This window comes from Homo sapiens, chromosome 19 (genome assembly GCF_000001405.40).
Source record: "Homo sapiens chromosome 19, GRCh38.p14 Primary Assembly".
In the NCBI taxonomy this organism is placed as follows: domain Eukaryota; kingdom Metazoa; phylum Chordata; class Mammalia; order Primates; family Hominidae; genus Homo; species Homo sapiens.
In genome coordinates this window covers 46,850,847-46,867,606 of record NC_000019.10, presented here as the reverse complement: position 1 = coordinate 46,867,606, position 16,760 = coordinate 46,850,847, and the positions used below count along the sequence as shown (strand labels likewise).

Below are 16,760 nucleotides of genomic sequence, written 5' to 3'. Positions count from 1 at the left end.
ACAATCAAGTATTATTAGCCACAAAATAAGGCAGAATGGGAACCAACTAGTATAATCCCTTCATTTTTCAAATGAAGGAACTGTAGTCCAGAGAAATGAAAATGATTTGGCTAGTCACAAAGCTAGTAAATGACAGGGCTAGGGCTAGGACCCAGGTTTCTTCAATGTTCTTTACATCATAGGAAGCCGCCTCTCAATTGTCCAAATGCAATTACCAGTTTACTACAGTGGCCAGGACGAGGGCATCATCCAAGTAAGAATGCAGAGATATCAGGAGAGCAAAAGAGGCAGGAAATACCTGCAGATCTATAATACAACAGTCACAACTGCTGCAAAGTACATAAAAAGAAAATGTTCGTTTCAATAAAGGAAGATGAGAGAGATAGGCAAGTCTGGCTATTTTCAACTAAAATAAATATTACTTTCCTGTAATGATACTTCATGGCTGAAAGTATCTGGTTCTCTGCTAATATATCAACTTAATGGCATTTCTCAGTATCAGAGAAGCAAATAAATGAAAATTAGATTGACAGATGCCAAAAGTTATCTTCAAGAATTCTTTATAGATGAAGCCTGATAAAGCACTGGATCAAAAGTTTTGGGAAGATGAACACGAATTATTTGTTTGCATTTCTTAATGCCAGCAATACAAGTGCTGTTCAGACCATTGCTGTTTGAGAGCCTAGGTCAACAATGACTCAGCTTGAAAAATTCCATATCGTTTTTAAAAGAGGTATATGGTTTTAGTTATGTAGCTAATATAATCTGGATAACCCCATCCCCCTAAATTATAAAGTAATCTCCATGTGAATGGTTGAAAAACAGGCAGTGTTTATTTTATATCTGAAAAAGTATACAACAAAGGTAATCCAGTTCATTTTACTGCATCTCCCAGGGAAAGAGCCCCCTACACAGACTCTGGGTTACGGGACTTGATGACAGGCAGTTGGGGATTGGCAGGTGAGAGAGGAATCAAAGAGTAGCAACAGGAGCTTAGTCCTAAGCTCCAACTCTAACTTGGTAAGTGACCCAGGACAACAAGAATCTACAATCAGACCTGGACAGCACTCCAGGCTTCAGACTAGGAAGGTGAAGCCCAGAGAGGTCAAGCAATTTGTTCAAGGTCCCAGCTAATTAGGACAAGGCCTAGATCAGAAGCCAGGTCACTGCCCTTATATAAATCCAGTACTTTTCTGCTGTGGCAGGAAGCCTGTCACAATGCCCTATGCCAGCCTTCCATTCCTCCATCTGTAAATGAGGAGGCTAGACTACGCGCTGATTTTCCCACTGAGTTCCAATGAACGCAAGGCGTCAAAGGAGGTATTTGTGCTAGTCACCTTCTCTCTTCATGCAAAGAATCTCAATTTTACCTATTTTACAGATCGTGAAAAAGAAATCTTACCAACTGGACATCATGGATAGTGCTGTGATGAATAACAAAAGATTTTTTAAAAAAGGGAAAAACAGGCCAGGCGCAGTAGCTCGTGCCTGTAATCTCTGCATTTTGGGAGGCCGAGGCAGGTGGATCACTTGAGGTCAGGAGTTCAAGACCAGCCTGGCCAACATGGTGAAACCCCATCTCTACTAAAAATACAAAAATTAACCTGGCGTGGTGGTGCATGCCTGTAATCCCAGCTACTCGGGAGGCTGACACAGAAGAATCGCTTGAACCCAGGAGGCAGAGGTTGTGGTGAGCTGAGATTGCGCCATTGCACTCCAGCCTGGGCAACAGGAGGGAAACTCCATCTCAAAAAAAGTCACGATTACTGTGTAAATCAAGACATTGTTTAGACTGCCAGGTGGTGACCGACAAAAGTCACAGCAGATCACAGGAAGACGCTGCAAGCGGCCTAACACCTCTCAGGAGACCACAGTGGACCAAAGTTGGGAAGCAGACCAGACTAGATGGAGACGAACAACCACTCCGACCTTTTCAATCTCCAACTATATTGACCTGACGCCTCACCTCCTCACATGCAGACTCACCAAACATCTATTAGGCTATGGTTTACTGTCACCTGTGCAACCCCCACCCTTCCCAGGCTGTGTCCTTTGCCAAAAGTCACCATCAGGTCCATGGATCTGCCCATGAATCTGCACACCGACAACTTCTTTCAACTTCTTCTCTTCTGGATCAATAAGAATGAGTATTTTCTGATTTGTCACTGTTCTAAATGCATCGACCTTCATCATGCCAAGGAAAATGGCGGGCAGGTAAAAGGGCGGGTGGGGAGCATGGCCAAAAAGAGGTTAGTTGAAAACAAGATGATAACTTAAATGAGGAACTTTGATCAGATTAGTTTTTAAGTCTTTACAAAGATTTTCTAGGCAGGGCAAGAGCCCTTGAAAACATGTTACTACCTTGAAAGCAGTTGTCTACCGCCATCTCCTGCTCCAGTCCCCCCACTCCAAATGGCATATTAACTGTGCCAGAAGGCCAAGGCTACCACCTCACATTTCTGTAGCACCCAATCCCATCATGAAAGCAAATGGCAATGCTGGAGTTAGGGCCTCTGCTAGCCTCAGAGAAATCTGACAGTCTTTAAGAACATCGGTTACCAGTTAAGGTGGAAAAATCAGCTCTCTATTCTGTGTGTCCTCTCTCCCTATTATGTAAACTTAGGCTTTTGGCATGCAGGAACTTTTCATGCTGCCAATGATATTAAAACTCTGGGACACACATTTAAGCAGTACTGCATACACAGTTGTTTTTATTCTTAATTATCTGTCACTTCCATATTAATAAAAAACAAAACAACTATTGACACCAACATGGGTAACACAAACTCTAAGATAAATTCAGAAAATTAATCATGACACACAAGGCTAAAAATTTACCAACGGAAATGAACCAAAAATCTTTAAGTCAATAATGGTGAAAACCCATGCCATACATAGATTATTAAAATTACCAGATTCTGTCAGAAAATTTTAAAAAGTTCAAGGGACCATACAAATCTACTATCAGCCCTCTTCACTGTCTCATATACAAATGCCCTAATATTTGATGAGTGAATGGTCCAACTCTGTAGATGACAGTGAATGTTTTTATTTCAAATGTGTCCACACAGAATTATTTCTAAATAAGTACTAAAATAAACAAAGTTTGATCATAGCACAGTTAAGAAAGTCCTTCCAGTAAATGCTCCTTCACAGTTGGATGGCTACTTTAATATACAATTGCCCTAGGCCACAGCAGGGAAAAAAATCAGGCTTTTGATTTACTTAAGAAATAAAATAAATAAACCTAGAACATGCAAAAGATCCCCTTTCCCAAGTTAAGGAAGGAAAATGGTTGGACAGATTTTCTGTAAAAACCACCTCTACCCCTGAATGAACTAAATACCCCCCCACAACCATAGAGTCATTAAAGAAAATCGCTCAGGAATGGTAGCCAAGACGCATTTCTCAGATAATAAGACTAAAAATCCAATCACATCCGCCAGTTCCTGGCACCCCTTTCTAACTCTACCCAATCAGGTCACTCAAAAAGCTTAAGGAATGTCAGGGCCCACCCACACACCCCTTGTACGGCAGGCAAAGAGCCCCAGAATCTAGCATGGATCTGCCCAGAGGCACTCAGCTCCTGTGGCAGGGAGTGCCTGCAATACCAGAGGGCAGAAATCTGAGTGACATTTGGCACTCTCTCTTTCAACAAACAACCGCAAAGTGCTTTCCAAACCCAAGCCCTCACCATTTTGAAGACCAGGAAGCTGGAGCCTTTCCCGGGGCAAAGATGAAAAAGAAATAAGCCCACCTTCCCCATCCCCTCCCACAAGGTCACACTGCAAACCAGAGGCCATTAGGGAAGGCAATACTGTAGCTTCCCTAGGTCCAACTGTGGCCATAACCCCTGGTGGGATCGGGATAATTTGAGAACTGGCATTTCCCCAGCTAGAGGTAAAACTATATATTGAAATAACTTGTTAGCTGGGGGGGAGGGGCGAAGGCGGGGGGGAAGGGAAGGACACTCCTAGGGTTGCTGGCTTAGAGGTGGAAGGGGAGAGAGGGTACTCTATGCAATGGCTCAGAGAAGGAAGGAGGGAAAGTGAGAAAGAGAATAAAGATCTGCGAGCAGCTGCAATCCCCTTTTCCAAAGGACACAAAGCTGCAAAGCCCAGAGATAGGAAGGGAGAGAGCAAACAGCAGAGGAAAGAAAATGGGGCAATGGAAAAAGATCTACCTCCCCCCACACTACTAACCTAGTGGAAGTGGGGGAAATGGGGGAGACACTCCCAGACTCCAGAGAGTAGTAACAATCAACCAACCCCCACCTATTTACCCAGATCTCTCAGGATCCCTGGGGAGAGAACCCTCAGGGTTAGGGCGCAGAGAGAGAATCTGCAGTCTCAGAGCCTGGAGAGCCTAAGGCCCAATCCAGCCCCTTTGCCTCTGCAGCAGAGGGATGGAAAGAAAGATATGCCTGAAAGGGGAAGTGCTCAATGGGGAATGGGTGGGCCACGGGTGGTGAGCTGCGAGGAGCAGGTCTGATAGGAACTAAATGGGAAGAGAAGGAGCCTGGCAGGATACAAGGGGAAGGAAAAAAAAAAAAAAGGTGAGGAAGGAAACAAGTCCAAGAGGAACAGAATTGGGAGAGGGATATCAAAGGGGAGTGATAATCTATCACAGCACTGAGGCAGCTCCAAGAGGAAGGTGGGGGGGAATACATAGGAAAGAATGATTAAGAAGACATCGTAATGTCACAATTGGAGTGAGAACTCCAAAAGAAGACAAGAGGCAGAACAGTGGAGGGTGGGCAAATAAAGCAGAGTGAAGGGTGAGGGCTGAATCAAAATGGTGGGGGGAAGAGACTGTCATGTGGAAAACTTAAAAGACTCGGGAGGGAACAGAGAGGGGACACAGTGACAAGAACCCCAGTGTTAAAGGACCGCTCCAAGAAAGGACGGCAATACAGAAGTTAAAAACCGGTCTAAAAATATGCGGGCAAGTGGACAGCTCCGAAGGAGCCGAGCTGGGGAGGGAAACACTAAATAAAGAGGATGGAGCAGAATTGAAAAAAACGAGAAGAAAGTGTAGGTACAAAATGGATCTAGGGGCAGGTCTGTGAGATGCAGAACAGGAAGGGGATGGGTGACCAGCCCGGGAGGTATCAGAGGTATAGTGAGGTTAAAGGGCATGTCTAAGGGCTAAAACGGGGAGGAGAGGAATTGGAGCAAAGAGGGGACAGGAAGCAGTTTTCAGGCAGAGAACTGAAGGAGAGACAGGCCAAAGAAAGGAGAAGCAAATGAATGCAGTAGCTCAGAGGAGTGCCAAAAAGGAGGTGGGGAAGAGAGGAAACCTCCAAGAGAACACGGGCTGAAACTGAAGGCAGTCTGAGTTAGGGATACATCATTTAAGTGAATAGCAGAAATGGGAGACCTGCAGAGTCAGAGAAGGGGGAGGAGGCTGCTTCCCGGGAAGGCAGAGTCAGAAGCAAGCAGGTGAGGGGAGCGCAGCAAGATCTGAGGTCGGGCAAGGGGCAGAGCTGAGAGGCAGAAAGGTCTGGAAGAGAGGAAAGGGTCTGAATGGTAAACGGGAACAAGAGCTGAGAAGGGGAACAGGCAAGCACGGTGCAGCCAAGTCCGAGGGGATCAGGGGAATGAGCTGGGGCACGGAAGGGTCAGAAAGCCAGCCGAGGGGCATCCCGGGGTGCAGCAGGCTCTGCGAGAGGGCAGACAAGAAATGCGGGTAGTAGGGCCCACGAGGGAACGGGATTCAGTCCAAGGGGAAGACCTGGGGCAGCAGTGCCTGGCCGAACAGGGGTCTCAGATGGATCTCCAAAGGGTTGGAACCGCAGGTCCTAAAGGGACAGCTCCCAGGGTGCAACAGATTCTGAGACAGGAATAATAGCACAGAAGGTAGGTCAAAGAAGGGGCCGAGGACAGATCTGAAGGGTGGTGAGAGCAGAATCGAGAAGAGGGAGAAGCGTCACGGATCTCAAAAGTGGGAGCCACAATTAAGAGATGCAGAATGGTCAATGAGGAGAAGATGGGTCCCAGGAGCACTGCAGAGCCCGGGAGGAGCGAAGGGCATTATGGAGGGGTGGAAGGGGGAAGGGGGGCGCAGAATTGGGAACCGGTTGGCTGAAGTCGGGTAGGCTCCGAGGCAGACACCGAGATCCCAACGGGTCGGGGATGGGGGCGGCGGCGGGGACAGCAGGGCTGGGGCGGGCAGGGGCAGGTCCAAAGGGCAGGAGGGCCCCACGGGCCGGGCCGACGCGCGAAGCGACGGGGACGGCGGGGCCCGGGGGGCTGGGGGGGGGGCCGCTCCTCCCCTCCCCCTCCAGCTCCTCCATTGTTCGCGGGCTCCGGGCCCCGCCGTCCCCGCCTCCCCCTGGACCCCGCAGCGGGGCGGCGCCCGGCCTCGCCGCCCGGGGCCCGTGAGCTCGCGCACTCACCAGCTGGGCGCCCTCAGCGCGGCCCCGGCCTCCAAAATCCCGGCAGCAACGACGGGGGCCCCGGCGCCATGTTCCCCTGCTCCTAGTCCAGCGGCGGCTGAGGCGGCGGCGGCGGCTCCGGCGGCGGGGGGCCGGGCGGACCCTCCCTCGCGGGTTCCCTCCTCCGCCTCCTCCACCTCCTCCTGCCGCCGCGCCGCGGCTCTCCCTCGGGGCGGGGGGCGGGGAGGGGAAGGGGGGAGGGGCGGCAACCAGGGGGAGGGCGGACCAGCCTCGCTCACTCCCTCCCTCCCTCCCTCCCTCGCAATGGCGGCAGCGGCGGCACCTCCTTCCTGCGACGGCCGCTCCCGCGCGCGCGCCCCCTCGCTACTGCGCGTGCGCGGCGCGTGGACCGTTGCAGGGGTATAACGGCCCCTGGGCGCGCGCCGCGAAGGGACAACCAGCGAGGCAGTGGGAAGAGGTCAGAGCGCGTGCGCACCCGAGGGGCTTACTGCCACAGCCGCTGCCTGAGGTTAGGAACGGCCGCGGACGGTGCAGTGCGCGTGCGCCCCCGAAAATGCCGCTATTGCGGCGGCCGCCGTCGCGACTGAGCGCGAGGCGACTTGCAAACGAGCAGAGGGAGCGGGATGGGCGAGCGCGCGTGCGCGGGGGGCTGCCAGCCGGCGCAGCTGCTGGCGCAGGGCGGAGGGAGTGGTCCGCAGGAGCTGCGCGCGCGTCTCAAGCAGCCGATCTACTGCCTCGCGCTGGCTCCTGGAGAAAGCCGAAGGAGAGAGGCATGGCCCGGTTTTGGGGGTGGGGGGCGAAGGGCGCGATCCCGCTCGCGCGGGACCTGACCAGCCAATGGGAAGCAATGGGAGGTGGGTTTGCCGCGCGAGCCGCAGCCGCCGGGATAACGGAGGAGGCCAGAAGGAGCGACGTAACGTGGGGCGGTGGGGCGGGGCTGAGAAGGAGGGAGCGCACCAGAGAGGGAGTTGATTGGAGGATATGAGGAGGCGTGGCCCGCCTCAGCCCAATCCGAGCCCCGCAATTCGTCGTCCCGGAAGAAGAGGCGGGGCTGGAGAGCGCGTGCTCTTTCTCCTGGCTGTGAAGAAAATCTGCAGCCAACGCGCGCGTCCATGCAACTTGTTTTTGGTTCTGTGAACGACTGATCCCCAGGAGAGGGAAGACGGCCTGGTCCTGTGTGCAGCCCAAGCCTGTCACTTAGCATTGTGCAAATGGCTACAAATCGAATGTCAATTAGGGCGCCTGAAGGGAAAAGAGTAGTGATGGGAGAGGGCACCGCTGTAACCCTTGACTCCTCTGAACTGAGGAGGTGTTCCTCTGGGACTCCTCCGGAAGTACAGATCGTGGAAGATGAGCTTCCCGGGCGCCGAGCCAATATTTGTGGAATGCATGAAGAAAGGCTGTTTCCTATTACATTTGGCATTTCTGCCATCAGTCTCTTCATCTATAAAATGGGATAATAATCGTACCTCTCTCGTAGGGCTGCTGTGAAAATTAAATAGATTATATTTTGCAAAGCTCTTGAAATCATGCATTGCATACATAGTAAGCGCTCTGTAAGCGTTGATAAATAAAATTACAGGGGCTTGTTTATTCCATTAATAAAGATTTTTATATTAAAGGATGTTTCCATTGACTTTTTTTTTTTTTTTAATGTAGCACTTTTAGGGCCAGGCGCGGTGGCTCATGCCTGTAATCCCAGCACTTTGGGAGGCCGAGGCGGGCGGATCACTTGCGGTCAGGAGTTCGAGACCAGCCTGGCCAACATGAAACCCCGTCTCTACTAAAAATACAAAAATGAGGTGGGCGTCGTGACGGGCGCCTGTAATCCCAGCTACTCGGGAGGCTGAGGCAGGAGAATCGCTTGAACTCGGGAAGCGGAGGTTGCAGTGAGCAGAGATAGCACTGGACTCCAGCCTGGGCAGCAGAGGGAAACTCCGTCTCAAAAAAAAAAAAAAAAAGGCACTTTTAATGCATTCAGTCTGATTTTTAGATGTTAGTGGCTTGAAACAACAACAACTTTTCTTTAAGCACTGCGGGGCTGCCAAATCGAGTGCGTGGACTGTCATTACAAACCGTGATGTGTAAGGGACTTTTGAGATTACTTGAGGAGACACAGGAAAGACAAGGTGGGGGGCAGTGAATTCCTGATACCTGTATTTCAAATTAATGTCTTTACAACGCCTATGCAGTGTTCCGAGTCTTTTCAATCTTAAATTTGTGAGCTGGCAGCATCTGGAGAACAAGGACGCTTGGGCTCACTCTGGATCCCCCAAACCCCTTGGGAGCCCATCAGCTCTGATTTACCCTTCAACTCTCAGCTTGAAGTCACCTTCTCAGGGTAGTCTCCCAGATTTGGCCTGATCCCTCGTTCTTTAATAATAAAAATGAGTACTTCGTGCCAAGCAACAGTCTTTTTTTATTTTTATTTTTTATTTTGAGGCAGAGTCTGGGATTACCAGCGTGCGCCCCGCTAATTTTTGTTTTTGTTGTTTTCTCAAGACAGAGTCTTGTTCTGTCACCCAGGCTGGAGTGCAGTGGTGTGATCTCGGCTCACTGCAACCTCCACCTCCCGGGTTCAAGTGATTCTTCTGCCTCAGCCTCCTGAGTAGCTGGGACTACAGGCGCCACATCTGGCTAATTTTTGTATTTTTAGTAGGGACAGGGTTTCACCTGTTCGGGCCAGGCTGGTCCCGAAGTCCTGGCCTCAAGCCATCCACCCACCTCAGCCTCCCAAAGTGCTGGGATTACAGGTGTGAGCCACTGAGCCTGGCCGCAACAGTCTTTTTTGTTTGTTTGTTTGTTTGTTTTTTGAGATGGAGTCTCACTCTGGCATCCAAGTTGGAGTGCAATGGCGAGGTCTCGGCTCACTGCAACCTCCACCTCCCAGGTTCAAGCGATTTTTCTGCCTCAGCCTCCCGAGTAGCTGGGACTACAGGTGTGTGCCACCACACCTGGCAAATTTTTGTATTTTTAATAGAGACGGGGTTTCACTATGTTGGCCAGGCTAGTCAACATTCTTTTTATTTGTTTTTTTTTGTGTGTGGATTTTTTTTTTTTTTTTGAGACAGGGTCTTGCTCTGTTGCCCAGGCTGGAGTGCAGTGGACCAGTCATGGCTCACTGCAGCCTCAACTTCCTGGGCTCAAGCAATCCTCCTGAGCAGCTGGAACTACATGCTCTCACCATGACACTTGGCCAATTTTTTTTTTCTTTTGGTAGAGATGGAGTCTTGCTATGTTGCCCAGGGTGGTCTCAAACTCCTGGCCTCAAGCAGGCCTCCTGCCTCAGCCTCCCAAAACGCTGAGTTTACAGGCATGAGCCGCCATGCCTGGACATGCCAGGCAGCAGTCTAAAAGCACTTTAGACCCATTAACTCACTGAATCCTCACAACAACCTTATGAGTAAGTTATAAGGTACAGAAAAGTTACACAGCTAGTAAGCAGCAGGTTTGAGACACAAACCCAGACAATTGGGTCACGTTGCTACACGTAGCATTTCTTCAGGGTTCAAGGTTTGCAGTTCTGTGTTGGATCCCAGCACTTTAGGAGACTGAGGAAGAAAGATCACTTAAGCCCAGGAGTTCAAGGCTTCAGTGAGCTATGATTGTGCCACTGCACTCCAGCCTGGGCCACAAGGCCAGACCCTGTCTCTAAAAAGATTAAATGAAGTTCTGTGTTGGTATCACCATTTTATGTGTGAGCCCTCTGAAGGCAGGGGACCCTGGCTAGTTCCAAAGTCTGGCCAATGACCCACAATTAAAACTTGTTAATAAATAAAAGTGAATGAGTCGGCCAGGCACAGTAGCTCAGGCCTGTAATCCCAGCACTTTGGAAGGCTGAGGCGGGTGGATTGCTTGAGGCCAGGAGTTCGAAACCAGCCTGGACAACGTGGCGAAACCCTGTCTCTACAAAACGTACAAAAATCAGCCAGGCATAGTGGTGCACGCCTATAATCCCAGCTACTAGGGAGGCTGAAGCAGGAGAATCGCTTGAACCCGGGAGATGGAGATTGCAGTGAGCCAAAATCGCACCACTGCACTCCAGCCTGGGTGACAGAAGGAGACTCCGTCTCAAAAAAAAAAAAAAAAAAAAAAAAAAAAATCCAATGCTAAACAAGGGGGTGGTAGGCACTGGGGACATGGTAGCCAGAGACTACATGGTTGTCCTTCTAGCCTTCTTTGAGATGCTAGCTCAGATGTCCCCTCTTCCAGGAGGCCTTCTCTGATGCAACAGGCTGGGTCAGCTGCTCCTTCCAAGCTCCCACAGTCCCTTTAGGTCTCCCGTCCAAGCCCTGGCCACCTTGGGTGGTCCATATCTGGTGATAGGTCTTTCCCATCGGACTGCAAGGCCCCTGAGGGCAGGGCCAGGGCTGTTTCAGTCATCGTCGATGTCCCTAGCACGGATCCAGGCACAAGGCAGGGGCCCAGGCATTGTTTTACTGCATGAACGGAACCATCAAGGGGTGCATTCCCAGCTCTGCAATTTTTTCCAGTGCGCAAGAGGGCGGATAGTAGTTGAGCAAGCCAACCACAGGAAGCGGGCTTCCCTGGGGGCAGCCGCCTCCGCGCACCCGGCTAGCCTCCACTCCAGGATAAATAAACAAACGAGTAAACAATTAACCGACCGAGAGAAGTGCCGACTGCCGGCTTGGGCCGCTGTCAAGATTTCCCAAGCATCGGCCTACGGGCCGAATGGCTGGAGGTCACATTAACGGGAGAGCCGCTGGTGTTGGTTGATAAGAGGCGGGCGTGGGATTCTGGACCTGTATTGGAAACCTGCACAGGCAGAAAAATTCACAAAAGGATTTTGTAAAGAGGGTGGGACTCTGGGGTATACACTCTATTCATTCCTAAGAGTCTGAAAGAATCAGAGAGGGTGGGGACCAGGTCTGCGTGTGACGGAGGAGTCAGTGAGCCCACAGCGCCGCCTGCAAACCGAACAGGGGAAGCTGCAGCTGGAGGATTGCCGCGGGGGCTGGCAGAGCGGTGGACTCTTCAGCCATTGGCCCAAGGGCAGCCAATCACGAGGCAGGAACGGGAGGCGGGGATGCTCAGATTCACCGCGGAATCCCAGTGCCTGGGCCCCTTGCTTAGTAGATCGACGCACTAAATATCTACTGGATGAATGCATAATAAACATCTATTTTTTAAAAAAAATTTGAGACAGGGTCTCGCTCTGTCGCCCAGGCTGGAGTGCAGTGGTGCAATCATAGCCTACTGCAAGCTCTTCCTCCCCAGCTGAAGGGATCCTCCCACCTCAGCCTCCGGAGTATCTGGGACTATAGGCGTGCGCCAGTGCACACGGCTAATTTTTATATTTTTTGTAGAGACAGGGCCTCGCCATGTTGCTCCGGCTGGTCTCGAACTCCTGGGCTGAAGTGATCGGTCCACTTCGGCCTCCCAAAGTGCTGGGATTACAGGCGTGAGCCACCGCGAACAGCCAACCTCTCTCTCTTTCTCTCTCTCTCTCTTTTTTTTTTCCTTGAGACAGTCTCGCTCTGTCGTCCAGACTGGAGTGCAGGGCGTGATCTCCGTTGACTGCAACCTCCGCCTTCCGGATTCAAGCGATTCTCGTGCCTCAGCCTCCCAAACAGCTGGGACTACAGGCGCGCTGATTTTTTGTAGTTTTATTAGAGACGGGGTTTTGTCATATTGCCCAGGGTGGTCTTAAACTCCTGAGCTCAGGCAATCCACCTGCTCCGGCCTCCCAAAGTGCTAGGATTACGGGCGTGAGCCACCGCGCCCTGCCACAACCTCTCTATCTTTATAAACGTTTAAAATTGAGGCCGGGCGCGCTGGCTCGCGACTGTAATTCCAGCACGTTAGGAGGCTAAGGGAGGAGGATCACTTGAGGCCAGGAGGAGTTCCAGACCCTGTCTAGCAAAATAAAAAAATAAATAATTGTTCCTTCGGGACTTATCTTTTCTATGTCTGTGCCATGTAGCCCCAGACTCGAAACCACTCAAGCCATGAGACTCCTGAGGGTAGAGAAAATGTTTTGATCTTCTCCCTACCTGTGTTCTTCTGCCCAGCACTCTGCCCCATCCTGGACACTAATCCTTGCTTGGTTAATTTCCACTCGTCTTTTTTTTTTTTTTTTTTTTTTTTTTTTTTTTTGAGAAGGAGGCTTGCCCTGTCGCGGAGGCTGGAGTGCAGCAGCGCCATCTCGGCTCACTGCAATCTCTGCTTCCCGGATTCAAGCGATTCTCTTGCCTCAGCCTCCCAAGTAGCTGGGATTACAGGCGTGCACCACCACACCCAACTAATTTTTGTATTTTTAGTAGAGACGGGCTTTCACCATGTTGTCCAGGCTGGTGTCAAACTCCTGTCCTCAAGTGATCCGCCCACCTTGGCCTCTCAAAGTGGTAGGATCAGAGGCATGAGCCACTGCGCCTGGCCTTTATTTATTTATTTATTTATTTGTTTGTTTATTTATTTATTTGAGACGGAGCAGCCTGTCGCCCAGGCTGGAGTGCAGTGGCACAATCTCGGCTCACTGCAACCTCTGCCTCCCAGGTTCAAGTGATTCTCCTGCCTCAGCCTTCCGAGTAGCTGGGATTACAGGCATGCACCACCATGCCCGGCTCCACTCGTCCTTCTGATCTCAGCTCAAATGTCACCCCTTCTAGGAAGCTGTCACTAACTCTTCAACTCAGCTAGGTGCCTGTTATGAGCCATTGTGGCAGCCAGCCTCCAAGATGGACCCCAATGAGTCTCACCTGGTATTTGCATTGCCTCCTGCATTGGACAGGGCTGATTAGGTACCAATGGAACATTGTGGAAATGACAGTGTCATAAAAGATCTGAGGCAAGGCCATAAAAGACATAGCAGCTTCCGCCATGCTCTTTCTTAGATCACTCACTCTTTGGGAAAACAGCTGCCATGTGAGGACATTCATATGTCCTTGTGGACAGATTCACGTGGTGAGGAGCTGAGGTCTCTGGCCAATAGCCAGCATTCATTTGCCAACCACAGGAGCGAGCCACCTGGAATACAGGTCCTTCAGCTCCAGTCAAGCATTCACATGCCAGCCTGGAAAATATAGCAAGACCTCTTCTTTCCAAAAAATTTAAAAATTAGCTGGGCATGGTGGCACGTGCCTGTAGTTCCCACTACTCAGGAGGCTGAGGTGGGAGGATTGCTTGAGCCCCGGAGGTTGAAACTGCAATGAGCTGTGATTGCACCACTGCATGCCAGCCTGGGTTATAGTGCGAGACCCTGTCTCAGAAAAGAAAGAAAGAAAAAAAGATAGTGTTCTCGTGGCTGTAGCACTGGCTAATATCTTTTTTTTTTTTTTTTTTTTTTTTTTGAGATGGAGTCTCGCTCTGTAGCCCAGGCTGGAATGCAGTGGCGCGATCTTGGCTCACTGCAACCTCTGCCTCCTGGGTTCAAGCAGTTCTCCTGTTTAGCCTCTCTAGCAGCTGGGACTACAGTTGCACACCACCATGCCTGGCTAATTTTTGTGTTTTTAGTAGAGATGGGGTTTTACCATATTGATCAGGCTGGTCTTGAGCTCCTGACCTCAGGTGATCCACTTGGCTCTGCCTGGCCTTCTTTTTTTTTTTTTTTTTTTTTTTTGAGACAGAGTTTCACTCTGTTGCCCAGGCTGGAGTGAAGTGGCACACTCTCAGTTCACAACAACCTCTGCCTCCCGGGTTCAAGTGATTCTCGTGCCTCAGCCTCCCAAGTAGCTGGGAGTACAGTCACACGCTACCATGCCCGGCTAATTTTTGTCCTTTTAATAGAGATGGGGTTTCACCATGTTGGCCAGGTTGCTGTTGAACTCCCAACCTCAGGTGATCCACCCACCTCGGCCTCCCAAAGTGCTGGGATTATAGGCATGAGCCACTGCACCTGGCCTTAAATTTATTTATGTTATGTCATTTAAGTCCATTTTTCCTGCTAGACTGTGAATGCTGTGAGGGTGGGGGCAGTGTCTGTTTTCTTGCTGCAAATGCATTCATTCATTCAGCAAATGTTTATTGAACACCAGAGTTGTGCCAAGTATTAAGTTGAACACTGGAGATCAGGACTGGGACTAAGGGGAGGCAAGTGACGTGTTGAGGGCACAAAATTTAATGAGGCACATATTCTCAGTCCTGTGTAAGACAGGAATTGGCATCTAAGAGTGAGGTCCTTTTAAAATTTTGCAACCTGGACACTTTGCTTGTGTCATCCTAGTATCAACCCTGTTGGAGACAGAAAAGTACACAAGACAGAAATGATCTCTGGCCTCTTTTTGCCCCTATAATATTCAACAACTATGTGTTGGTTATTCTGCCAGTACTATACCTTAAATTTACATAATTCTACAATACATTTTGTTTTATTTATTTAATTTATTATTATTATTTCTTTGAAATGGAGTCTCTCTCTCTCTCTGTCCCCCAGGCTGGAGTGCAGTGGCACGATCTCGGCTCACTGCAACCTCCATCTCCAGGGTTCAAGTGCTTCTCCTGCCTCAGCCTCCCAAGTAGCTGGTATTACAGGCAAGTGCTACCAAGCCCGGCCAATTTTTGTATTTTTATTAGAGGTGCTGTTTCGCCACGTTGGGCAGGCTGGTCTCGAACTCCTGACCTCAGGTGATCTGCCTGCCTTGGCATTCCAAAGTGCTGAGATTACTGGAGTGAGCCACCATGCCTGGCATGCTTTGTTCTTATTAGGGCCAATCTCCCCTCAGTACTAATAGTAATAACTTTATTGACTGCTTACCATCTGTCATGTTCTAGGTAATGAAGATACAGTTATCAGACAGGGTCCCTGCCCTCAACAACTCACTACCTAATGAGAGATCTAGACAAACATACACACATACTCATAGGGCAAATAAAATAATTTTTAAAATGTAATAAAGGCCATTTAAAAAATCACGCCTGTAATCTCAATACTTTGGGAGGTGGAGGAGGGAGGATCGCTTGAGCTCAGGAGTTCAAGAGCAGCCTAGGCAACATAGCAAGACCCTGTCTCTACAAAAAGTACAAAAAATTAGCCAGGTGTGACGGCATGTGTATGTAGTCTCAGCTACTCGGGAGGCTGAAGTGGGAGGATCACTTGAGCCCAGCAGGTTGAGGCTTCAGTGAGCTGAGATCATGCCACTGCGCTACAGCCTGGGTGACCAAGGGAGACCCTCTTTCAGAAAAAAGCAAAAACAAAGACACACCAAAAAAACACTAAACTAACTGCTGACCTGGAGGGTTTTTTTTTTTTTTGACAGAGTTTCGCTCTTGTCATTCCAGCTAGGGTGCAATGGTGTGATCTCGGCTCACTGCAACCTCTGCCTCCCAGGTTCAAGCAATTCTCCTGCCTCAGCTTCCCGAGTTGCTGGGATTACAGGCACCTGCCATCACACCCAGCTAATTTTTATATTTTTAGTAGAAATGGTTTCACCGTGTTGGCCATGCTGGTCTCGAAGTCCTGACCTTAGGTGATCCACCCACCTCAGCTTCTCAAAGTGCTGGGATTACAAGCATGGGCCATCATGCCCCCGCCAAACTAGAGATTTTTTTTTTTTTTTGGAGTCTCTCTCTATTGCCCAGGCTGGAGTGCAGTGGCGAGATCTGGGCTCACTGCAACCTCTGCCTCCGGGCTTCAAGTGATTCTCCTGCCTCAGCCTCCCGAGTAGCTGGGACTACAGGTGCGCACCACCATGCCTGGCTAATTTTTTGTATTTTTAGTAGAGATGGGGTTTCGCCATGCTGGCTAGGCTGGTCTCGAACTCCTAACCAAGTGATCTGCCTGCCTCGGACTCCCAAAGTGCTGGGATTACAGGAGTAAGCCACCGCGCCGGGCCGGTTCAAATTTATGCTTTTAAACTGTTGTCTCCCGAGAGACACACGCAACGTATTTTAAGCAAAACACTGGCTTGGTGTTGTGGTGGCTCATGCCTGTAATCCTGGTGATTTGGAAGGCTGAGGGTCGCTTGAAGCTGAGTTCGAGATCAACCTAGGCAATATATCTAGACCCCTGTCTCTATTTTTAAAAAAATTAAAGAAATCACTGGATGAGGAATGGAAAGACATTTTCTATCTCCCCAGGACAGTTTTTTAAAATTTAAAACTACTATTCCCAGCATGCCCTTCTCCCCTGGGTGGGGGGAGGGGACCTAAGAGAACTACATTTCCCTGAATGCAACGCCTTCACCGCTGGTTCTTCAGCATCTCGGGAATTGTAGTCCTCTGTAAAGATGTTTGTCCACAAATCCCAGCATGCACTTGGGATCTGACTCGTTTGGTAGGAAAAGGACTGGCTCTGACTCTTCACCCATCTTCACCCAGGCTGGCCCCTTTGGTGAAACTACAACTCCCAGGGGTCTGTGCGCGAGAAGGCAGGCGGGTTTTTCTACCGGAAGTCCGCTCTAGCTCT

General features: G+C 50.0%; 2 protein-coding genes across 4 annotated transcripts in view, besides 4 other annotated features; one reads left to right on the top strand and one right to left on the bottom strand.

Annotated features, from left to right (window-relative positions):
* The window catches only part of ARHGAP35 (Rho GTPase activating protein 35), a 144,081-nt gene extending 137,471 nt beyond the window's left edge, over positions 1–6,610 (bottom strand). For all 3 annotated transcript variants that reach the window (XR_002958305.2, NM_004491.5, XM_024451473.2), the window contains exon 1: positions 6,398–6,610. The gene's annotated coding sequence lies outside the window, so the exon portion shown is untranslated. The remainder of the gene's footprint in view (positions 1–6,397) is intronic.
* On the top strand, positions 2,077–8,018 carry LOC124904791 (translation initiation factor IF-2-like). The gene is made up of 4 exons (XM_047439803.1): positions 2,077–2,214; positions 4,399–4,485; positions 6,287–6,550; positions 6,711–8,018. Exons 1-4 carry the CDS (start codon positions 2,077–2,079, stop codon positions 7,380–7,382), a joined length of 1,161 nt encoding a protein of 386 aa, XP_047295759.1. The 3' UTR covers positions 7,383–8,018.
* Positions 6,302–6,841: a silencer, noted in NCBI's record as "silent region_10833". NCBI's record gives its function as "represses an Ori minimal core promoter by ATAC-STARR-seq in GM12878 lymphoblastoid cells {active_cell/tissue: GM12878}" and the evidence as "EXISTENCE:reporter gene assay evidence [ECO:0000049][PMID:35858748]".
* Positions 10,389–11,325: an enhancer, noted in NCBI's record as "H3K4me1 hESC enhancer chr19:47359539-47360475 (GRCh37/hg19 assembly coordinates)". NCBI's record gives its function as "activates a minimal SCP1, AML or CMV promoter by ChIP-STARR-seq in primed H9 embryonic stem cells {active_cell/tissue: H9 hESC(primed)}" and the evidence as "EXISTENCE:reporter gene assay evidence [ECO:0000049][PMID:30033119]".
* Positions 11,326–12,264: an enhancer, noted in NCBI's record as "H3K4me1 hESC enhancer chr19:47358600-47359538 (GRCh37/hg19 assembly coordinates)". NCBI's record gives its function as "activates a minimal SCP1, AML or CMV promoter by ChIP-STARR-seq in naive H9 embryonic stem cells {active_cell/tissue: H9 hESC(naive)}" and the evidence as "EXISTENCE:reporter gene assay evidence [ECO:0000049][PMID:30033119]".
* Positions 16,437–16,746: an enhancer, noted in NCBI's record as "active region_14851". NCBI's record gives its function as "activates an Ori minimal core promoter by ATAC-STARR-seq in GM12878 lymphoblastoid cells {active_cell/tissue: GM12878}" and the evidence as "EXISTENCE:reporter gene assay evidence [ECO:0000049][PMID:35858748]".